Source organism: Homo sapiens, chromosome 7, assembly GCF_000001405.40.
Source record: "Homo sapiens chromosome 7, GRCh38.p14 Primary Assembly".
In the NCBI taxonomy this organism is placed as follows: Eukaryota; Metazoa; Chordata; class Mammalia; order Primates; family Hominidae; genus Homo; species Homo sapiens.
The window spans coordinates 149,371,708-149,396,261 of record NC_000007.14 but is presented as its reverse complement, the minus strand read 5'-3'; the positions used below and the strand labels follow the sequence as shown (position 1 = coordinate 149,396,261).

The 24,554-nt window shown below is 42.6% G+C and overlaps 2 non-coding genes across 2 annotated transcripts; both read left to right on the top strand.

Moving 5' to 3' along the window:
* The first annotated feature begins 18,680 nt into the window (after window positions 1-18,680).
* On the top strand, window positions 18,681-18,752 carry TRC-GCA10-1 (tRNA-Cys (anticodon GCA) 10-1). Its single transcript has one exon. It is a non-coding gene; the product is annotated as a tRNA-Cys (tRNA).
* A 1,679-nt stretch (window positions 18,753-20,431) lies between these two features.
* Window positions 20,432-20,503, top strand: TRC-GCA18-1 (tRNA-Cys (anticodon GCA) 18-1). Its single transcript has one exon. It is a non-coding gene; the product is annotated as a tRNA-Cys (tRNA).
* The last annotated feature ends 4,051 nt before the right edge of the window (window positions 20,504-24,554 follow it).

The following is a 24,554-nucleotide window of genomic DNA, read 5'->3' as shown; positions in this document are numbered from 1 at the left end:
ACTGAGCAGTTCTCATTTAGAGGTCTCTCCTTGCAGTTATAGTTGTATGTCAGCTGGAGCTGTGTCATCTGAAGGCTTGACTGGGGCTGGAGGGCCTACTTTCAAGGTGGCTCTCTCCCATGGCTGGCAAGATGATGCAGATTATGAGCTGAGGGCCTCAGTCCCTCTCCACATCAGCCTCCACAGGGTTGCTTGAGCATCCTCACAGCATGGAGGTTGGCTTCCCCTAAGAGTGATAAATCTAAAAGACCAAGGTGGAAGCTGCCATGCTTTTATTGTCTAGCTTCAAAAGTCACACACTGTCACTTCCATGGTCTTTTGTTCCTCTCTTTGTATCAAGTACTTTCTGACCTTCAGTCAAATGCTCTACCTCCGGGCCATCCTTTTGACCTGCTGTGACTTCACAACTGCCACCTTTCACTTGTAAGGACATGCCTAGGACTTCAAGCTTGCTTTCAGGAGCTGGCAACACCAATTCTAAATAGTGGTCTTCCTTACTGCCATGAACCATCCCTTTCTTGTCTTCACAACATTTCTGCCTATGCTTCCTCAGTCCCAAGGCAAAACATGCATAAATAGCCTTGTTGAAATTTAAGAATGGAAAGGCCAATCAACCCTCCTTGGTTAAACTCAACTGACATTTTTTTTGAGCATCTATTGAGTGCCAAGGCTCCAGACATATGCAGATGAGGAATATTTGAACATTCCTCCTGCCTAAGACATGCTCAGAGCCAGATGGAAATAATGACAACGTAGTAATACGTGCTAGAATTGCAAACAAAATCTTAAATTAAGGAAAAAAAAAAAAACAGAAAAGAGAAAAAGCAACTCAATCCGGGGCCAGTGAAAGGGAGAAAAGTCTTCAAAAAACATACCCAGTTTGGCGGCTCATGCCTGTAATCCCAGCATTTTGGGAAGCTGAGGTGGGAGGATCACTTGAGGCCAGGAGTTCAAGACCAGCCTGGCCAATATAGTGAAATCCCAGCTCTACTAAAAATACACAAATTAGCTGGGCATGGTGGTGTGTACCTGTAATCCCAGCTACTCAGGGGGCTGAGGTACGAGAATCGCTTAAACCCAGGAGATGGAAGTTGCAGTGAGCTGAGATCGTGCCACTACACTCCAGCCTGGGTAACAGAGCAAGACTTCATCTCAAACAAACAAAAAACAAACAAAAAAACCCAGCTGATAGGTCACCTCTACAGCGAGAGATGAATGCTTGTCCAGACAGTGGGGTTGGGAAGTGCGTTGGATGGCACATTAGAAGACGTGCTAGACCACAGAGAGCACTCGGTGGCCGGAGGGCGCATGTTTGCCTGTGAGGGTCTGTGGGGTGGTGGTATGGAGGATGAGGACAGGGAGCAAGGAACAGGGAGGGGTGGGAGAGAGAGGTGATCACGATGGAAAAGTAGATCGATACAGGTTGTGGGGAGCCTTGTATATCGACTGTGCTTGGAAGCTTTGACATTTTCGACATCTTGGAGTTCACTGAGGATTTGAAGCAAAGGAACCACAGGTTTGTATTTGTTTTGCAAGCAGATGGTGTCAGCAGGCAGAGGCCATGTGGGAAGAGTGGGGAGACGAGGGCGACTTACTAATGTTTGTTGTATTGTTGACGCTGCTGTTGCTGCTGTTTGTGAGGTTGGGGGTGGGGTTTTAACTTTTTTCCTTATAAACTGTTTTATTTATTTTAACTGAAAGTATAAGATATGGCCCTGGGAATACTGCCTTCCAGAGAGGTGGGGTCCTAGCAGCAGCTTCAGGGATGCTTTGGCCCCCAAGATCCTGTGCTGCTGTTGCAGTGCCTGAGCAGGACCTGGAAGTGCCTGGACAGGATCTGGCAGCACCTGGTCAGGACCTGGGCAGCATCTGGGCAAGATCTGGCAGCACCTGGGCAGGACCTGGCAGCACCTGGGCAGGATCTGGCGGCACCTGGGCAATACCTGGGCAGAACCTGGGCAGCATCTGGGTAGCAACTGACAGGATCTGGCAGTACCCGGACAGGACCTGGTGGCACCTGGATAGCACCTGGGCAGTACCTGCCACCACCACAGGCCCACAGCAGGACGATTCAGCTGATGAGGTCACAGTCATTGCTACAGTCTCTGACCCGGATGGTTTCTTTTCATGGCTAGTTTTTTCCTCTTACTTTGGAAAATTAAAGCATAACACAGAGAAGAGTGCACAAAGCCTCATGTACAGCTCAATGAATTAAAACAAAGCGAACATGCCTGGTAACCACTGCACCAGCTGAGAAAATAACACAGCAGAAACTCAGAAACCACCTGCAGGACCCTCCTAAGCATTGGCCTCTCCTCCCCAAAAGAACCAAACTATTCTGACTTCTCTTGCCATGCATTAATTTTGCCTGTTCATGTACTTTGTTTAAATGGAACCATAAAATATATGTTCCTCTTTGTCTAGCTTTTTTCTCTCAATATTCTATTTGTGAGTGCTATGGTGTAAATGTCTGTGTTCCCCCAAATTCTAATCCCCACAGTGATGGTATTAGAAGGTGAGGCCTTTGGAAAGTGATTAGGTCACGAGGGTGAAGCCCTTATGAATGGAATTAGTGTCCCTATAAAAGTGGCTGGAGAGAGAACCCTCACCCCTTCCACTCTGTGAGCATACAGCAAGAATGCACCATCTATGAGCCAGATATAGAGCTCTAACCAGTTATTGCATCTGCCTTGATGTTGGACTTCCCAGCTTCCAGAGCTGTGAGAAATAAATTTCTATTGTTTATAAACTCTCCAGTTTATGGTATTTTGTTATAGGGGCTGGAATGGACTAAGAGAGTGAGATTCATTCATGTTATTGCATGAAGCTATAGCACATTCATTTTAATGCTGCATAAGATTATCTTGGGCTAATAGTACAATGTATTTATCCATTCTATTCTTTATAAACATTTGGGTTATTTTCCATTTGAATCTATTATGAATGAAGCTGCTATGAATATTCATGTATGTGTCTTTCAGTGCACATTTCTTTTGAGCATATACCTAGGGGAGGATTTTCTCATTCATATGGTGTCTGTATCTTCAACTCTAGTGGATAATGTCAACTTTAGTGGATAAAGTTGTTGTGCAAGTTTACACTCACATCAGCAGTGTATGTTTTTCCATTACACCATCTGGTTACCAACACAATTATTGTTAGTATTTTTCTATTTTAATTTAGGCATCCCAGTGGGTGTGTAGGGTATCTTGTGATTTTATTTTGCATTTTGCTAATTATGACTAGATTGGACCATTTGTCATGTGTTTGTTAATAACCTTTCTTTGCATAATCTTGTTGAGGTCTATTGCCCATTTTTGTACTGGGTTCATAGGATTTCTTTATACATTCTGAATAAAATCTCTTGTCAGTTATATGTGTGCAAATATCTTCTCCTTCTCTATAACTTGCCTTTCAACTTTTTGTTTGTTTGTTTGTTTTTAAGAGAGCATCTCACTCTGTTGCCCAGGCTGGAATGCAGTGGTGTTATCATGGCTCACTGCAGCCTCCACCTCCTGGGCTCAAGTGAACCTTCCACCTCAGCATCTCAAGTAACACAGGCACATGCCACCATGCCCAGCTAATTTTTTAAATTTTGTATAGAGATGAGGTCTTGCCGTGTTGCACAAGCTGGTCTGCAATGCCTGGATTTAAGCAATCCTCATGCTTCAGCCTCTCAAAGTGCTGGGATTATAGGCATGAGCCACCACACCTGGCCCCTTTCAACTTTTTAATGGCAACTTTTCATAAACAAGCATTTCTAATTTTAATATAGTCTTATTAGTCTTTTTCTTTTGTGGTTCTTCTTAAGGTCTGCTTAAGAAATCTTGGCCGGGCGCGGTGGCTCACGCCTGTCATCCCAGCACTTTGGGAGGCCGAGGCGGGCGGATCATGGGGTCAGGAGATCAAGACCATCCTGGCTAACATGGTGAAACCCCGTCTCTACTAAAAATACAAAAAATTAGCCGGGCTTGGTGGCAGGCGCCTGTAGTCCCAGCTACTCGGGAGGCTGAGGCAGGAGAATGGCATGAACCTGGGAGGCGGAGCTTGCAGTGAGCCGAGATCACGCCACTGCACTCCAGCCTGGGCGACAGAGCAAGACTCCATCTCAAAAAAAAAAAAAAAAAAAAAAAAGAAATCTTTATTTCAAGAGCAGAAGAGAGTCTCTTCTGTTGCCCACTAGAAACTTAATTATTTCACCTTTTCTCTTTGGATCTGTAATTCACCCAGAATTGATTTTGTGTTTGGTACAAGATAGGGGTCTTTCATTTTTTCTATAGTGATGTCTAATGGACTCAGAAGCTTTATTGACAAAGCCATCCTTTCTGAGCTGCTCGGGAACACCACTGCCACTTTTGTCATAAATCAAGAATCTATAAGTGTGTGAGTCGATTTCTGGATTCCTTTGGATTTCAGTTCCCTTAGTTTGCTTGTTCTTCCTTGTGCAAATATATCATCTTAATCACGATAACTTGCTAACAATGTTTTTTAACAATATCTTTATATGTAAGAGCAATTCATCTTATTTTGTTCTTGAACATTAGCTTGGCTATTCCTGGCCTTTTGCATTTTCAATGTTAATGTTAGAATCGGCTTGTTAATCTCTTCTCTCCATCCACCATGAAAAACTGCAGTAATTTTGATTTAGATTGAGTTGAATCTATATACACATTAGTATCTTTATGCTGTGGGTGTTCTAGTCCATGAAGATGATATATTCCTTCATTTATTTATTTCTCTCAGAAATTTATCTCTGTAATATTTTATCACTTTCTGTGTAGAGAGAGTATTATTTTCTCTGTAAATATATTCATTAGATTTATCCCTAGGTATTTGGTATTTTTGATGCTGTTATTTTTAAAGACTTCATTTTCCCACTACTTATAAGTCACAAACTTGCTAAACTCATATATCAATTCTAATGATTTATCTGTATATCCTTTTGGATTGTCTAGGAACTCTGGCACACCTGCTGTGAATAAGAACAGATTAATTTCTTACTTTATAATACATATACTTTTATTTTACTTGTCTTATTTCAGTTATTATGAATTTCATAAAAATGTGAATAGAAGTGTTGATAGGAATCATGCTTGTCTATTCTCAAACTCAGAGAGAAAGTGAGCAAGACAGGGTCTTGCTACCACCCAGGCTGGAGTACAGTGGCACCATCATACTTACTGCAGCTCAAACTACTGGGCTCAAGTGATCCTCCCACCTCAGCCTCCTAAGTAGCTGAAACCACAGTTGTGCACCACTTCACCTGGCTAATTTTTTGTTGTTGTTAAAAATTAAAATCTCACTGCGTTGCCCAGGCTGTTCTCCCACCTCAGCCTCCAAAGTGCTGGGTTTGCAGGTTCATTGAGCCACCATGTCGAGTTGAGAGATATTTTTAGACGGTGTCTCACTCTGTCACCCAGGCTGGGATGCAGTGGCACGATCTCGGCTCACTGCAACCTCTGCCTCCTGGGTTCCAGCGATTCTCCTGCCTCAGCCTCCCAAGTAGCTGGGATTACAGGCGTGTGCCAACATGCCTGGCTAATTTTTTTGTATTTTTAGTAGAGACAGGGTTTCACCATGTTGGCCAGGCTGGTCTTGAACTCCTGACCTCAGGTGATCTGCCTGTCTTGGCCTCCCAAAGTGCTGGGATTACAGGTGTGAGCCACCGTGCCTGGCCCCTTTCTATTTTTAAATTGAGATTTTTATTGTTATTTTATTACAATGTTTGATTTTAAAAATCATAAATAGATGTTGAATATTATCAAGGCTTTCTTCTGTATCTACTGAGATTATCATATGATTTTTTTTCTTTACTCTGTTAATGTGGTGGGGTGAACATTACCTTGATAGATTTACAAATGTTAAGTCAACATTTCTGGAGTAAACTCAATTGATCAGAATGTATTATCTTGTTTATGATTTGCTGAATTGCTAGTACTTTTTGAGAATTTTTTCATCTACATTCATAAGTGATATTGGCCTGTAATTATCCTTTTTTACAATGCTCTGGTCAGATTTAGGTTATTAAGGTTATGTTAGCCTCATAAACTAAGTTGAGAAATTCTCCCTTTATTCGTATTCTTTGAAAGGCTATGTATAACAGAGGCATTGTTTCTTCTAAAATGTTTGGTTAGATTCATGGGTGAAGCCATCTGAGTCTAGAGTTTTCTTTGGGAAAGGTTTTAAATTATGGATTTAATTCCTTTAATAGTCATAGGAGAATTCCAGCTTTCTATTTCTGCATATGTAAGTTTTGTAAATTTGTGTTTTCTATAATTTACCATTTTATCTACATTTTCAATTTTTTAGTGTAAAGTTGTTTATCACATTTTAACTTTGAATTTCCATCTGATCTGTGTTACCTCTAGTAATGTTCCCTTTTAAATTCCTAGTAGTAGGTATTTTTGCATTCTATTTTCTTCGTCTTAAAAGTCTTGCCAGAGATTTCTGTCCTTCATGGATCTTTTCAGGGAACCAACTTTTGGCTTCATTGATCTCCTCTATTGTACTTTGCTTCCTAGTTCATTTTTGTTACTCCTCTTTTTTAATAGTTATCCTAGAGAGCATAGCATGCATGCTGAGCATGTCAAAATTTAATACTGATGGTACATTGACCCTCTCTCCATGAAACTGCAAGAACCTTAAAACACTTTAAGTCCATTTATTCTCACCTTATGTAATGTTGCTGTGTGTTGTAATTATCTATATATTTTAAACTATGTTAGATATTATCATTGTGTTATACTATTAATATTTATTTACATTACACACCTATTTATTCTTTTAGAAGGAGTCTCGCTGTATCACCCAAGCTGGAGTGCAGTGGTGTGATCTCGGCTCACTGCAACCTCTGTCTCCCGGGTTCAAGTGATTCTCGTGCCTCAGTCTTCCAAGTAGTTAGGATTACAGGTGCCCGCCACCATGCCTGGCTAATTTTTGTATTTTTAGTAGAGACAGAGCTTCACCATGTTGTCCAGGCTGGTCTCGAACTCCTGACCTCAAGTGATCTACCCACCTTGGCCTCCCAACGTGCTGGGATTACAGGCGTGAGCTACTGCACCTGGCCAACACACCTGTTTATTCTTGTTATTGTTTTTCTTCCCTTGCATATCCAACATTCCATTCATCTTTTCTGCCTGAATAATACTCTAATATTTCCTTTAGGGAGGTTAGCTGATAAATATTGTGTTTTTCTTTGCTCAGAAAAAATCTTTATGTCATTTTCAGAGTAGGGATACAGGCTATTCCGAGAGGTATATCTTCAAGAAAAACAAAATCAGAAGATTAACTGATGTGTTTTACTGTGTTAGAGGAGATTTTTACTGAAAGGACAAAGAGAATCGGAATTAAATTAACAGAAAAATGTCATCCCAGTTCGGGAGGGATGACTGATTTCACAGACCTGAGGATGCTGAAAGCTAAATATCTTCAGTGACAGAACCCAGAGAAGCAATCTGCCTCCCAAGGTGACCCTAACCCCAGAAGGGCTCAGGAATTGGAGGCACTAGAGCCCAGCAGGTGGACCTTTGTCATGGAGCTGGAAACAGAAGCCCCAGTTGAAATTCTGTTTCCAAAGCAGAAAGACTCCAAATCCTTTCTGCCATGGAGTAATCCAGATGAGAGAGAGGTTTACCCCTTGAGAGGCTGATCCAGAGGAAGTCCAGACTTAGGAGTATCTGTGATGGTTGCTCAATGAGAAATAGTGGAATTCACTCATCCATTCAGAAAGCATTTGTTGAATGGATACAGTGTACATGGCACAGTAACACAGCTACAGTGCCAGACAAGACAAAGTCCCTGCCCATTCTAGAGAGGACTAAGGAGAAGCCTACATGCTAAACTGTGAGGCTTTCTCCATCCCTTTCCCCTGTTCTGTGACCCCAGCTCACTCGTAGCCAATTACACTTTCTGGCTGGAGATGAGCGATACCATTTGGAGTCCTTACCCTTTGCATGTGATCTGCAAAATCAAATTTTTCTGGATCTCCCTACTATGAAGCCATCAGCCAACAAGCGCCACCCATACTCAGAGAACCCAATCAGCATCAGTCACCTCACTCTTGATTTACAAATGAGTAATTAAAGATCCACAGACTTTGGAGGCAACATCTCTAACATAAAAAACATAGATGAAAGCAAACAGAAAAAGAAAAAGAGACAATACCAGGAGCAGAAGAAAACTTAAAACTTTGGGAGGCCTAGGCGGGCGGATCATGAGGTCAGGAGTTTGAGACCAGCCTGACCAACATGTTGAAACCTCCTCTCTATTAAAAATACAAAAATTAGCCGGGTGTGGTGGTGCGTGCCTGTAATCCCAGCTACTTAGGAGGCTGAGGCAGGAGAATCACTTGAACCCGGGAGGCAGGGATTGCAGTGAGCCAAGATCACGCCACTGCACTCCAGCCTGGGCGACAGAGCAAGATTCTGTCTCAAAAATAAAAACGAAAACTATATGTGTGTGTCATTGCTATCCTTAGGGAGAAAAGGACAGTTTTGCATGCACGAAAAGGGAACACAGTATAAAACCAAAAAGAACTTCAAAGAATAAGAAAAAGGGCCTGAATATTCAAAATATGATCCAAGAAATTAAAAATTCAGTAGAAGGATTGAAAGAAAACTCATCCTGACAGTAGAATAAAAAAGATAGTGATAAAGACAATAGGAGAAAACAGATTTAAAAATCTGTTGGAGGATTGATTTAGAAAGTCCAACTTTCAATGTCCAAGAAGGAAGAATTCAGAAGACAGAGAGGAGAAAATTTCCCAGAGCAAAAGCAGTGAGTTTATAGACAGAGAGGGCCCATCAAGCGCCCAACACCAAGACTCTCACCAAGGGACTACATTGTGAAATTGCAGGCTTTTCATGGCTTCCTGTGGAGGTGGGGCGTGGCAGGGGTAGGACAGGGTCGAAGCATAGGGAATTAAAATCGCATTGGAATTCTCAACAGTAACATTGAAAGTTAGGGGCTGGGCGTGGTGGCTCACGCCTGTAATCCCAGCACTTTGGGAGGCTGAGGCGGGCGGATCACGAGGTCAGGAGATCGAGACCATCCTGGCTAACACGGTGAAACCCCGTCTCTACTAAAAATACAAAAATTGGCTGGGCGTGGTGGCGAGGGTTCCTGTAGTCCCAGCTACTTAGAAGGCTGAGGCAGGAGAATGGCATGAACCTGGGAGGCGGAGCTTGCAGTGAGCCTAGATAGCACCACTGCTCTCCAGCCTGGGTAACAGAGCGAAACTCCGTCTCAAAAGAAAAAAAAAAAAATACAAAAAATTAGCTGGGTTACTGTGCCATGTACACTGTATCCATTCAACAAATGCTTTCTGAATGGATGAGTGAATTCCACTATTTCTCGTTGAGCAACCATCACAGATACTCCTAAGTCTGGACTTCCTCTGGATCAGCCTCTCAAGGGGTAAACCTCTCTCTCATCTGGATTACTCCATGGCAGAAAGGATTTGGAGTCTTTCTGCTTTGGAAACAGAATTTCAACTGGGGCTTCTGTTTCCAGCTCCATGACAAAGGTCCACCTGCTGGGCTCTAGTGCCTCCAATTCCTGAGCCCTTCTGGGGTTAGCGTCACCTTGGGAGGCAGATTGCTTCTCTGGGTTCTGTCACTGAAGATATTTAGCTTTCAGCATCCTCAGGTCTGTGAAATCAGTCATCCCTCCCGAACTGGGATGACATTTTCTGTTCATTGAATTCCGATTCTTTGTCCTTTCAGTAAAAATCTCCTCTAACACAGTAAAACACATCAGCTAATCTTCTGATTTTGTTTTTTCTTGAAGATATACCTCTCGGAATAGCCTGTATCCCTACTCTGAGAATGACATAAAGATTTTTTTGAGCATCAAAAACACAATATTTATCAGCTAACCTCCCTAAAGGAAATATTAGAGTATTATTCAGGCAGAAAAAATGAATGGAATGTTGGATATGCAAGGGAAGAAAAACAACAACAAGAATAAACAGGTGTGTTGGCCAGGTGCAGTAGCTCACACCTGTAATCCCAGCACGTTGGGAGGCCAAGGTGGGTGGATCACTTGAGGTCAGGAGTTCGAGACCAGCCTGGCCAACATGGTGAAACTATGTCTCTACTAAAAATACAAAAATTAGCCAGGCATGGTGGCGGGCACCTGTAATCCTAACTACTTGAAAGACTGAGGCACGAGAATCACTTGAACCCGGGAGACGGAGGTTGCAGTGAGCCGAGATCGCCCTGCTGCACTCCAGCTTGGGTGACAGAGTGAGACTCCGTCTAAAAAAAAAAAAAAGTTAAGAAACAAGGGGGCAAAGCTTTTGAATATTGTGCAGAAAAATTATTACCAACTGTGGGAATGAAATTCCCAGACTAACGACCAACTGAGTATGATGTTAGAAGAAGGTGCTTTCAGAAACCTAAAGTCCGGGGAAGCTGCTGGAGGATGCACTTCATCAAAAGAATGCAACAGACCATCAAAGGCAGGGAGGACTGGTGACTTCCCAGGCTGGTGGGGAAGAGAGGTCCCCAAGTAGTAGCTGGCAGCAGGCCCAGAGTGCATGGAACAATTCAGAGCGATTAGGGAGGCATGTCTCCGAGAAAAAAAAAAAAAAAAAAACACTCCACCAGTAAATAGAGATTCATTCCTCTTTCAGAAATATCGGGATGATTAATGAAGTTTGCAGAAAACTTAGCAAAAAGGTCACCATAAATTCCCAGGAAAACAAAGAGCTGTATGAGAGAAAATCTAATCAGAGGACACTATAAAGCCCAGCTGTTAAAAAAATATTTGTATGATCATACTAATATAAATACTGAATATTGAGTTGAGAGACTAGAGGGAGAGAAAATGTGTGCGTGTGTGCATGCATGTGTGTTTGTATATGTGTGAGTGTGTGCACACGTGTGTGTTTGTGTATGTGGGTGTGTGTGTAGATTGTGGGAAAGAAAGAGGCTTATACAAGAGTTAAATTATTGTCTTCCATCAGAGGAAGTTAGATAAAATTTCAAACTGAAAAAATGAAGAAATAACAGTATAAGCCTGTTCTTCAGACCAATGGAAGTACCCACGGGGGAACGCTAAGAGTTTAAACTGGTTGCCTTGCCTTCGGGGAGCAGGGATTGTATGCAGACAGGTGACATGGGGCCGCCACCTGGTTTTTGTTGTAAGTTTTTTTTTTGTTTTTTTTTTTTGAGACGGAGTCTCGCTGTCGCCCAGGCTGGAGTGCAGTGGCGCGATCTCGGCTCACTGCCGGCTCCGCTCCCCGGGTTCACGCCATTCTCCTGCCTCAGCCTCCCGAGTAGCTGGGACTACAGGCGCCCGCCACCTCGCCCGGCTAATTTTTTGTATTTTTAGTAGAGACGGGGTTTCACCGAGTTAGCCAGGATGGTCTTGATCTCCTGACCTCGTGATCTGCCTGCCTTGGCCTCCCAAAGTGCTGGGATTACAGGCGTGAGCCACCGCACCCGGCCTGTTATAAGCTTTATGAGCTTTTTTCTTTTGTTATTGTGGTGAAATATACATAACATAAAATTGATTATTTTAACTCTTTTTAAGTGTATGGTTCAGTTGTGTTAAGCACATTCACATCGTCATGCAACCAACACCACCATCCATCTCTAGACATTTTTCATTTTCCCAAACAGACACTGTCTGTATTAAACACTAACTCCCCATTTTAACCTCCCCCCACAGCCCTGGCAACCTACATTCTACATTTGGTCTCTGTGAATTTGACTGGGCATCTCATATGAGTGGAATCATCCAGTATTTGGCTTATTCCACTTAGCATAATGCCCTCAAAGTTCATCCATGTTGTAGCATGTGTCAGACTGTCCTTCCCTTTCAAAGCTGAGTAATATTCCACAAACTTTTTAAGCCACACAAATTGTTTTGATACAGAACAATTTTTTAAAAAATTTTTGTGTATACATCATTTAAGAATGGGAAGAAAGAGAAGAAGCCATGTATGTCTGGCTAGATTTGGGAGAATTAAAAGAAAGGTCCAAGACATTGTACATTTATCTGTCAGTCATTACAGAAGGGGTGCTTCAGCATATTTTCACCATTGACTGGACACACACCAAGAAGAGGATCATTGATACAATTGGGCCATGGAAAGCTCAGGGTTTGGATAGGTGAGGACAGAGTGACCCTGGGAAGAGTGGGAAGTTGGGTAAGTCAAAGACAGAGCTTCTAGAGTCTCTGTGAACTATGAGGCAGGGAGCAGGGTCCGTGTTGAGAGAATCTGGGAGTGGCTTAGCAAAGCCAAATTCAGGATTGGACCAAAGGAGCTGGATGGACTTGGGGGTCATTTATGGGACTATGGGGTGGCCTGGAGAGCTCCAAGCCTCACTGTGGAGTCTGCCTCTCTGGATGCCACAGCACAAGGGGCCCCAGATGTGCACACGTGCCCTGGTCAGTGCTGGGAAGTGTAGTTAGGGGTTATTACCTCATCCCACCCTGTCTTCATCACTCCTTCACACAGAAGTTTACTACCAAGCCCCTACCCTCATCTTCAACCCCCACACATGAGCTTACACCTGGCCCCACTTTCACCCCTCCCCATGAGCACAGACAATTTTCGCAAGTAGGACAGACTCCCTGCAACACATGGAAGAGAACTCATACAGGGGATAAGAAGGTCTTTCCTTCTCTCATTTTCCAGATGAGAAAGCCAAGACTTGGGAATATCCTGCAGCTTTGTTGAGGCACAAACCACTGAGGGGCGGAGCAGGCCCATTCCTTGCAGTGGGGGTCTTTCAACCACATTCAACTCTCCTCTCAGCAGCACACAGGCAAACGTTCTCCCAGGATGAACACCTTTACAAAAGCATGTGCTAGACAGATGATGGTGAATCTTCACTGCTCCCTCTCTGGGAGGGTGGTCACCATTTCCTCAAGACTCTGGGGCCACCCCTCCTGTGTCCTTATTTGCACCAAGCGAAGAGGGGAAAATGTCCTCTGTATTCAGTGCAGTATTACTTGGTGGTTAAGATCACTGGCCTTGACTTTGCAGGGCCCCAGGCTCCAAGGCAGACTCTCCATTTATTAGCTGGCAGCCTTAAACAAGTTATCTAACCTCTCCAAGCCCCAGCATCTTCATCTGTAAGCACCGAAAAGAGAAATTACCACTTACGATGGCTGGGTGGGTTGTGTAAGGGATGCGTGGACAGTGTCCAGCTCAGAGCCTGGCCTGTCATCAGCGCTTGCTACACACTGGGCGTGACTGGCCGTGACTTAGGACAAGACATGCAGCCTCTAGACCCCACATGGTGCTGCCTGACTGTGTTATTGATCAGCTGTCTCCAACTCAGAAGGGCACAGAAAAGGTTATCCTGAAGTCCTTTCTGGTTGTAGGAGTCAACATTTTTAGCCACAGACTTGGAAAGGGCAGCCAGATGGCTGTGGGGCATCCGGGGGCCAGACGGTGAGGAGGGGATCTTGGCAGGAAGGGAAGCAGTTTTCAAGGGAGGAAGTTTGCCAGCTCCTGGGATGTGCAGAATGTCAGACATCATTGGCGGTTGTGCGTCCTCAAGGCTCTAGTGGCATTTGTCTCTTCATGGCCATCCAACATCCTTTCCCACTTCCTATCAGAACCTAAGCTTCTCTTGGGAGAATCTCCTCTTTCCCTTTGGGTGTCTTTTTGTGGGATAGTAGAGCAAGGTACACCCCCTTACCCTGGCCCAGGTCAGACAGTTGTCCCATGATAGGCCAAACACTTTCCTTGGGGACCCGCAGTCTTGAGCAGGGCAACCCAAGGATGGATGAAAAAACTAGCAGAGGTGGAGTGTTTGGTGGTGGCAGCTACTAGAGAGTGCCAAGCTCTCTGCTACCCAGATGACCAAGCTACTCTGCTTCCTGCCAGCTAGCTCTCCAGCCTACCAGCCACTCTCTGAGTTACCCATTAGCTACACTATACATTTCTTTTTGCTTGAATTATCCAGAGTTAATTTCTGTGGGCTGCTACCAAAGAATACAAACATATACACAAGTGACAACATGCCAGTTGGAAGTAACATTCTATTGTTATCCTTTGTCTGTATGGCTCAGGAGTAGCGATATTGACTGTTAAATGGTTTTTGGGTTCATGGATTTCTGCATCCACCCATGAAAAACTAACTACTATGGGAATTGCCTCCTTGCCATAAGTAATGAGATAACTGGGCAAAATATATAAAACAATGGTTTTCAGGCACTGAACAATAAGCAGAGGAGAGCAGTGAGAAGGAAAACAATGGCCCTACAGTGACCAAGCCCTGCAATGCCCCAGCTTAGTGCCTGTGGTCTGCAGTGAAGGGACAGGGAATCAACACAGACTCCAGGGGTCTCATTGAGTTGAAGAAGCAAAAATAAGACTTCAAGGAGGTCAGGGAAGCTAGAATTTGCAGGTAAAAGTACCAGAGAGAAGGAAGCTGCATGAAAAGTTCTGGGAAACTGCGGAGAGGTCCCAGGACGAGGATGAGTGTGCCTGGAGGACTGTTCTCATTTTCTATTGGTTCATGACAAACAGCCTTAGAGGCCTCAACAGCACAAATTTATTATCGCACAGTTTCTGTGGGTTGGTGTTCTGTGCTTTCTTAGATTCTTTGTCTCTCTGGCCTCCATTCATTACAGGGCCAATTACGTTAACTGTATTTTCTTATGTTCTGTATTCTTGATGCTCCGGCATTTGTGGCTTCACTGACTGGGTAGAGACTGCCCCTCTCAAGGTTAGCCAATTCTTAGAGACAGCAAAGGGCTCACCTGGGAGCACACCTTCTATATGCAAACTAACCAACCCAGAGCCCATCCTTCAAACCATCTCCTTATCAAACTCTAACACACGATGGCAATATTCCCCTACTCTAAATTACTCCAGGGCCAGGCATCAAGACAACTGGGGACAGCCTCTATGCCCCTAAGGTTTGCCAGGATTATTCAAACCAGCCAGTCCTAAACTGGTGGCCCTGCTTTGCCTTGCCTTTTCCATGGAAACCCCAATAAAGGTTCTGGCCCATGCTTTCCTGTCACTTCTGTCTTCTGACCAAAACTGGTGCTTCACCCATGTGGCTCTGCATGGTGGGGCATGCCTCCTTCTGTTGGATAATATAAGTAATAAACATCTTCTTTCAATGGCATTGGTCTCTGTGTTGTCTCTCAGTCTCCTCCATAAATTAAAATTTCACAGGTGCAAGTGAGACAGTCAGGAGTTCAGAAATATCTTAGCTGGTCATCTCCTCAGGCCCTTATAAGGCTGAAATCTAGATGCAGCCAGGCTCAGGCTCAGGGCTCTTTTCCAAGCTCACTGGTTTGGGCAGAATTCATTTCTCTGTGGCCATATGATTGAGGTCCCTATTGCCTGCTGGCTGTTGGCCAGGCACCTAGGGGTTGCCCTCAGGTCCTAGCCACATGGTCCTTCCAGAAAATGGCAACCCACCTTTTCAAAGCTAGAAGAAGGATCTCTCTCTTCAAGAAAGACCAGGACCTTCTTTTAAAGGGCTCCTCTGATTAGGTCATACCTGCCTAGGATAATTTCCCTTTTGATGAATCAAAGTCAACTTATTAGAGACCTTAACCTGCAAAATGCCTTTACCTTTATGATATAGTGTAACCTAATCATGAGAGTGAAATCCCATCATATTCATAAGTTTTGCCCACAAGGAAAGGAAGAGGATTATATGGTGCATATATCCCAGGGGGTAGGAATCTTGGTGGGAGCTGGGAGGTATCTTAAAATTCTGCCTAGACAACAGGAAAATCCTTAAGTCCAAAATGAAAAAAAAAAAACAAAAACGCCAAAAATACACCAGTAGACAGCAAGGCAAACAACTCCTAGAGTTCACACAGGACCAGAAAGAATTCATGTTCCAAATCAAAGACAGTGGAGAGATCTCATAATACCTAAGGCACTGAGCAAAGTTATCAGAAGGTTCTTGCCATAGGAGTGAAGGTAAATTATACTGCAGTTTCTCTTGGCTGCAGGGGATATATCCCAAAATCCCCAGTGGATGCCTGAAACCACAGATAATACCAAATCCTAATTATACTGTTTTTTCTTATACATACGTGCCTATAATAAAAATAATAATTTAATTTATAAGTGTGGCACAGTAAGAGATTAACAACAATAATCAATAATAAAATAGAATAATAATAACTGTATACTTTAATAAAAGTTATATGAATGTGGTCTCCCTTTCTCTCACTGTCTCTCAAAATATTTTATTGTACTATATCACCTATTTTCAGACCAAGGTTGACCACAGGTAACTGATACCTTGAAAAATGAAACTATTAGATAAAGGAGGACTAATGTACAGAATAAAGGCTACTCTGGACTCACTCTAACAAAATGTAAAAGCAAGCTTCAAATGGAGTAGGTTGACAGCCAAGTTACTTAATTGCATCCCAAAACAAAATTCAATACTCTTTAAAGGAATACAACTAAATCTAGTATTCAGCACTCTTTAAAGGAATATAACCAAACATAGCATCCAATTTTACATTCACAACATAAAATTCACAATGTCCAACGTACTAACAAAAATGCAAAGACAAAGGAAGATATGAGCCATAATCAGAGGAAAAACAGATGCAGAAAGGAAAGAGATGATGAAGTTAGCAGAAAATCACTTTAAAACAGCTATTATAAATCTTATAAATGTGCTGAAATATGCAAAGGAAGACAAGGACATAATGAGGAAAGAAATAAAAAATATTAAAAAGGCCCAAATATAATTCTATAGATAAAAATACAATATCTGAAATGAAAAGTAACTGGGTTAGATGTTTTAGAAGGAAAGATTATTAAACTTAAAGACATAGCAATATAAGCTACCAAAATGAAGTACACAGAGGAAGAAGACAGAAAACAATAAGCATAGATTTAGTGAGCTGTGAGACAATATCAAGCAGTTTAATACATATATATTTGGCCAGGCATGGTGGCTCACGCCTGTAATCCCAACACTTTGGGAGGCCAAGGTGGGAGGATTGCTTGAAGCCAGGAGTTCAAGACAAGCCTATGTAATAAGCAAAACCCTGTGTCTACAAAAATTTTTTTTAATTAGCCGGGTGTGGTGGTGTGTGCCTATAGTCCCAGCTACTCAGGAGGCTGAGATGAGAGGATCGCTTGAGCCCAGGAGTTTGAGGTTACAGTGAGCTATGATCATGCCACTGCATTCCAGCATGGGTGACAGAGCAAGACCTGTTTTTTTTTTAAAAAAAGCGTGGTGTGGTGTGGTGTGTGTGTGTGTGTGTGTGTGTGTGTGTGTGGTCTCTGAAGAAAAGAACAGAGAGAAATACAGAAAAAAATTTTAATAAGTGGTCCAAAAGTTTTCAAATTTGATGAAAATTGGAAATCCACAGATCATCTCAACAAACGCCAAGCATAAGTATCATAAAGAAAACCAAACCAAAGCACATCATGATAAAGTTGCTGAAAGCTAATGATAAAGAAAAAATATTAAAGACAGCCAACATAGAGGAATGAAAGCAGACTTCTTATCAAAAATCATGCAGTCTAGAAAGGGGGAAAAGGAATATCTTTTTAAAAATACTACTAATTCTATATTCAATGAGTTCTACACCCAGTGAAAATATCTTTCATCAATGACGGTAAACATTTTTTCAGACCAACAAAAGCTGAAAGAATTCGTTACCCATAGACCTACTTTATAGGAAGTAGAGTAGGCTTCTTCAGGGAAAGAGAAAAATGATACCAGATGAAAATCTGGATTTGCTCAAAGTAATAAAAAGTGTCAGAAATGGTACATATGTAGATTAATATAATTTTGCCTCATTTTAAAATCTCTTTAAAGGATAATTAATGCTTCTGGGCACAGTGGCTCACACCTGTAATCCCAGGATTTTGGGAGGTCAACGCAGGAATATCGCTTGAGGCCAGGAGTTCAAGACCAGCCTGGGCGACATAATGAGATCCTGTCTCCTTTTTATATTAAAAAATTAAAAACAACAAAAAAAGAGATAAGTAATGCAAAAATAATATAAATATACTGGGTTTATAATATACATAGAAGTAAAATCTATGACAATAATAACACAAAGGACAAAATGAGGGGAATGGAAATCTGTTGTAAGATTCTTACACTATCAGAGAAGTAGCAAAACATTATCTGAAGGTAAAATGTGATAAGTTAAAGATGATACTGTGATCTCTAGAGGAACCCTAAAAAATATAAAACAAAGAGGAATAGCTAATAAGCTCATGGTGGAGACAAAAGGAGATCATTAAAAAAATGAAATCCCAATGAAGTCAGGAAAACAAGAACAAAATCTAGTATTTGGAACAAATAAAACCAAATGTGGCTGGGCACACTGGCTTAGCACTTTGGGAGTTTGGCTCAGCACTTTGGGAGGCTGAGGCCGCAGGAACACCTGAGGCCAGGAGTTTGAGGCTAGTAGGGGCTCTTTGCACTCCAGAACAATCAGGCCCAGGGTCCAAACCCAGGCCCTCAAGCTATGTCTACATCTGGATTTAATCCCACCATTCTCCTTTTCCCAAAAAGCTAAGGCTGCAGCTTAATTGGCCGGATGCTGGCAGGTGTGGAGGGGGTTGTACAGAAGAGCTGCTCTGTTGTGCATTACATAACTCCACACCTGTAGCTCCTGGAGAGCTACAGGAGACAGGGTGGCCAGAGCGTAGCTTGTGAATGACTGTGATTATTAATACATCTTTATTGAAAGAAGATGAGTACCTTGGGGGTATAGCTCAGGGGTAGAGCATTTGACTGCAGATCAAGAGGTCCCTGGTTCAAATCCAGGTGCCCCCCCTTTGTCACTATCCTTTTACACTGGGCAATTATAGAATAGCTCCTTGTTATCTGGTAGGCTCTGTCTCTACGAAAAATAATTTTTAAAAAAATTAGCTGGGCATGGTGACTCACACCTGTAGTCCTAGCTACTTGGGAGGCTGACACGGGAGGATCACTTGAACAAAGAAATCTATAAGCTATCTATAAGAATGCCACTTTAAATATAATAAGATGAATAATTTAAGAGAGTGGAAAAAGTATATGCCAAACAAATACTAACCAAAAGAAAGATGAAAAGTGTATTCTATAACAGACTAAATAGACCAGAACAAGGAAAATTACTGAATTGAAGAGGAATATTTCATAATGATAAAAAGATCAGTTCATCAATAGGACATAACAGTCTTAAGTGTGTATGCATCTATTAACAGAGCTTCAAAATACAAGAGGCAACAACTACTGAGATCAACTGATCAACTGTTGGTAACTGAAGTTGGATCTGAATTTTTACCTCAAAAAATAAACGAATCTTCATGTTGTCTAAGCCAAAAAAGACAAATGAACAACATAATGAAAAAAAAATAGAACATAGCTAAATAAAATTTCAGATTATAAGAGAATACTATGGGCCGAGCACAGTGGCTCACACCTGTAATCTCTGCAGTTTGGGAGACCAAGGCAGGTGGATCACCTGAGGTCAGGAGTTCGAGACCAGCCTGACCAACATGGCAAAACACTATCTCTACCAAAAATACAAAAATTAGCTGGGCATGGTAGTGGGTGCCTGTAATCCCAGCTACTCAGGGGGCTGAGGAAGGAAAATTGCTTGAACCCAGAAAGTGGAGGTTGCAGTGAGCCAAGATTGCACTCCAGCCTAGGCAACAAGAACGAAACTCCATCTAAGAAAAGAAAAGAAGGAAGGGAAGGGAAGGGAGGAAGAAAGGAAGGAAAGAAAAGCAAATACTATGTACAACTTTATTATATTTTCTAAGTGAAAATGAATTACTAAAAGTGACCTAAGATGAAGCAGAGCACTTAAATAGACCAATAATGACAGAATTCATTAAAAGATCATTAAGGAGCTCTTCCTCACAAAAGGCACCCCACCCAGAGGCTTACAAGCAAGTTTCTGCTAATCTTTAGTTAAGAATATGTAATTTTATGTTATATATAATGTTCCAGCGTAGAACGCTTTAAATCTCTCCAAATCATTCTAGAAAATTCACATAATCCTGATATAAAAAATAAATTACAAGAGCATATACCACAAAGAAAGCTATAGGCCAATCTCATTTCAGAGTAATCTAGACAAAATAGTAGAAAACCTTATCCAATAGTACAATCCCACATAACCAAGAAAGACTTAAAACAGAAATGCACTGATGGCTCAATATTGGAACATCAATTACTATCAAGTAGGGGCTCCTTGCACTCCAGAACAATCAGGCCCAGGGCCCGAACCCAGGCCCTCAAGCTATGTCTATATCTGGATTTAACCCCACCACTCTCCTTTTCCCAAAAAGCTAAGGCTGCAGCTTAATTGGCCAGGTGCCGGCAGGTGTGGAGGGGGTTGTACAGAAGAGCTGCTCTGTTGTGCATTACATAACTCCACACTCTGGAGACAGAGTGGCCAGAGCGTAGCTTGTGAATGACTGTGATTATTAATATATCTTTATTGAAAGAAGATGAGTACCTTGGGGGGTATAGTTCAGGGGTAGAGCATTTGACTGCAGATCAAGAGGTCCCTGGTTCAAATCCAGGTGCCCCCTTTGTCACTACCATTTTACACTGGGCAATTATAGTATAGCTCCTTGTTATCTGGTAGGCCAGCCTCAAGGAACCAAATTTTCCAACCAATGGCAAAGACTGAAGTGTTTCTCTTGTGACATTTTTCACATATTTCATTTTTACCTCCTCAGCCATAATCATTTCCTGGAGGGGTAGAGGAAAGCTGCCCTAGATTTTTTCTGTTTCCCTTGTACCTAATTATTACCACCAAGATTTTATTTGTTTACACCAAGCTTGCTTTAAAAAAAGAATCCAAGGCAACTTACAATAAAAGACACAATAAAACTCTAACTGGTAAAACGAGTATTAAAATGCCAGAGCCAAATGTCTAGGAGAGGTAGCAAATAATTATTCCAAAGATCCTAGGTTAGGAGAAGCTCTTACTGTGGAATTCAAAACATCTCATAGCTCCTAGTAATCATGCGGAGGGAAAACAGACCAATTCACCAATCGTTAAAAATATGTTATTAGCTCAAAGAGCAGCAGACATTAATATGATAGGTCTTAATACATGAAACACTGGAGAGATGATGGTGGTTGCCAGGGCAACCATGTGCAGACACACAGGTTGCACATTTTATAACTTTACCAATTACACAGCACCCTGGAATGATGCAACACAGCGACCCTGAATATTTGCTGTATTTTATCCACTTTTTAAAAATTGTAGAAACAGTGCCACACGTGTGTGTGTATGTGTGTGTGTCTCAAAGGAGGCTACTAGTTAAGTACCCAATATTCATTCTTTTCTCTTCTGTAGTAATAGAAACTCAGATTTCATACTGAGCAGTTATGTTCTCAGCTAAAAGACCACACTCCTAGGCCGTCTTTGGCCAGGGGTGGCATACACATGAGGGATAAGGAACAGTTAAGACTTCTGGGAAATTTTAAGAGAAGGACAAACATGTCATGTGCTTCTTTTGCCTTTACTTCTGCTTCCTACTTATAACATAGATGTGATGGCTGGGGCACAAGCTATCAACTTAGACCATGAGTCAACTTTGAGGATGGGATCCACATTTTAAGGAAGGCTGACCAGAGAGATAAAAGGAGCCTGTGTCTCTAAAGACACCCTCGAGTTACCATGCCAGCTCTGGTCTGCTCACCTCCTGATATGGTTTGGATCTATGCCACCACCCAAATCTCATGTCAAATTGTAATCCCCAATGTTGGAGAAGGGGCCTACTGGGAAGTGACTGGATCATGGGGGCAGACTTCCCCCTGTTGTTCTCATGACAGTGAGAGAGATCTCATGAGATCTGGTTGTTTAAAAGTGTGTAGCACTTCCTCCCTCTCTCTTCCTCCTCTTCCGGCAGTGTGAAGATGTTCCTGCTTCCCCTTCAACTTCTGCCATGATTGTAAGTTTTCTGAAGCCTCCCCAGCCACGTTTCCTGTACAGTCTGTGGAACTGTGAGCCAACTAAACCTCTTTTCTTCATAAATTACCCAGTCTCAGGTATGTCTTTATAGCAGTGTGAAAACAGACTAATACAGCAAATTGGTACCAGAGAAGTGGGGCATTGCTGTAAAGATACCTGAAAATGTGGAGGTGACTTCAGAACTGTGTAATGGGCAGAGGCTGGAACAGTTTGGAGGGCTCAGAAGAAGACAGGAAGATGAGGGAAAGTTTGGAGCTTCCTAGAGACTTGTTGAATGGTTGTGACCAAAATGCTGATAGTGATATGAACAGTGAAGTCCAGGCTTAGGTGATCTCAGATGGAGATGAGGAACTTATTGAGAACTGGAGTAAAGGTCGCTCTTGCTTTTCTTTAGCAAAGAGACTGTGGCATTGTGCCTCTGCTCTAGGGATCTGTGGAACTTTGAACTTGAGAGAGATGATTTAGGGTACCTGGCAGAAGAAATTTCTAAGCAGGAAAGCATCAAGATGTGACCTGGCTGGTTCTAACAGCATATCATATATGTTCACAAAGAGATGGTCTGAAATTGGAACTTATATTCAAAAGGGAAGCAAAGCATAAAAGTTTGGAAAATTTGCAGCCTGATCATGTGGTAGAAAAGAAAAACTCATTATCTGTGGCGGGATTGAAGCCAGCTGCAGAAATTTGAATAAGTAAAGAAGAGCCAAGTGTTAATAATCAAGACAATGAGGAAAATGCCTCCAAGGCAATCCAGAGAACTTCATGGCAGTCCTTCCCATCATAGGCCCAGAAGCCTAGGAGGGAAAAATGGTATCATGGACCAGGCCCAGGGCCCTGCTGCTCTGTGCAGTCTCAGGACATGGCACTTGCTTCCCAGCTGCTCCAGCCCCAGCTGTAACTAAAAGGGCCTCAGATACATCTCAGGTTGCTGCTCCAGAGGGTGCAAGCCATAAGAAGTCTTGGTGGCTTTCACATGGTGTTAAGCCTGCGGGTGTGCAGAGGGCAAGAGTTGAGGCTTGGAAGCCTCCACCTGGATTTCAGAGGTTGTATGGAAACACCTGGATGTCCAGGCAGAAGTCTGCTGCAAGGGTGGAGCCTTCATAGAGAACTTCTACTAGGGCAGTGCTAAGGGTAAATGTGAGGTTGGAGCCCCCACATAGAGTCCCCACTGGGGCACTGCCTAGTGAAGCTGTGAGAAGAGGGCTACCACCCTTCCAGTCCCTGGAATTGTAGACCCATCAACAGCTTGCACCATATGCCTGGAAAAGCCTCAGGCACTCAATACCCATCCATGAAAGCAGCCATGGGGTCTGTACCCTACAGAGTCACAGGGGCAGAGCTGCCTTGGCCCACTCCTTGCATCAATGTAAACTGGATGTGAGACATGGAGTCAAAAAGATAATTCTGGAGCTTTAAGATTTAATGACTGCCCTGCTGGATTTTGGTCTTGCATGGGGCCTGTAGTCCCTTTATTTTGGCCAGTTTATCCCTTTTGGAACAGGAGCATTTACCCGATGCCTGTACTCCCATTGTATCTTGGAAATAACTTTTTTTTTTTTTTAATTTTACAGTCTCATCAGTGGAAGGAACTTGCCTTGTCTCGGGTGAGACTTTGAACTTGAACTTTTGAGTTAATGCTGAAATGAGTTAAGACTTTGGGGGACTATTGGAAAGGCATGCCTGTGTTTTGAAATGTGAGAAGGATGAAATTTGGGAGGGGCCAGGGGTGGAATGATGTGTTTGATTCTGTGTCCCCACCCAAATCTCATGTCAAATTGTAAGCCTTAATGTTGGAAGAGGGGCCTGGTGGGAGGTGATTGGATCATGCGTGTGGTCTTCCGCCTTGCTATTCTCATGAAAGTGAATACCTTCTCATGAGATCTGGTTGTTTACAAGCATGTAGCACTTCCTTCTTCACTCTCTTCCTCCTGCTCTGGCCATGTGAAGATGTGCCTGCTTCCCCTTCACCTTCTGCCATGATTGTAAGTTTCCTGAGGCCTTCTCAGCCATAATTTCTATACAACTTGTGGAACTGTGAGTCAATTAAACCTCTTTTCTTCATAAATTACCCGGTCTCAGGGTAAGTCTTTATAGCAGTGTAAGAACAGACTAATACACCTCCATACATCCTTTATGAAAAATATATAAATTGCTATCTTGTTGAAACCTCCAAGGACAGACAAATCCACACGATTCTGAAAGTTCATCCACTTTCTCCGTTGACAGCCTACCAAGCACCTACCTCAGTAGGTCTGAGTTAGTCATGAAAAAGGTTTTTCTACCAAGGCAATTTCCCTGGTAGAAATTCTCATTGTTGAGAGTTGACCAGGAAACTTTCATTGTTACAGAGTCAACTAAGTGTTCCCACAGCTTTCTCAGCTTCCCTCTAATGATACAGAGTAGTGTAGGAGGAAAGTCCTTCTATTGTTCCACATCCCATGGTGCACCCAGCTCTGCCTGGCCCAAGTCTACATCTCTACATGATAAGGAGAACGCAGGGAACCATACACTTTTGCTGCTTGTCTGCCTACAAGTTCCCCCAGGAACTTCTTGTCTTTGTGTTAGAAATGCAAGGTATGCTGTAGTGAGTGAGCCTGTACCCCTTAGCACAGTAGTCACTCTCATTTCCAGTTGGTTACTAGCAGCTGAATGCA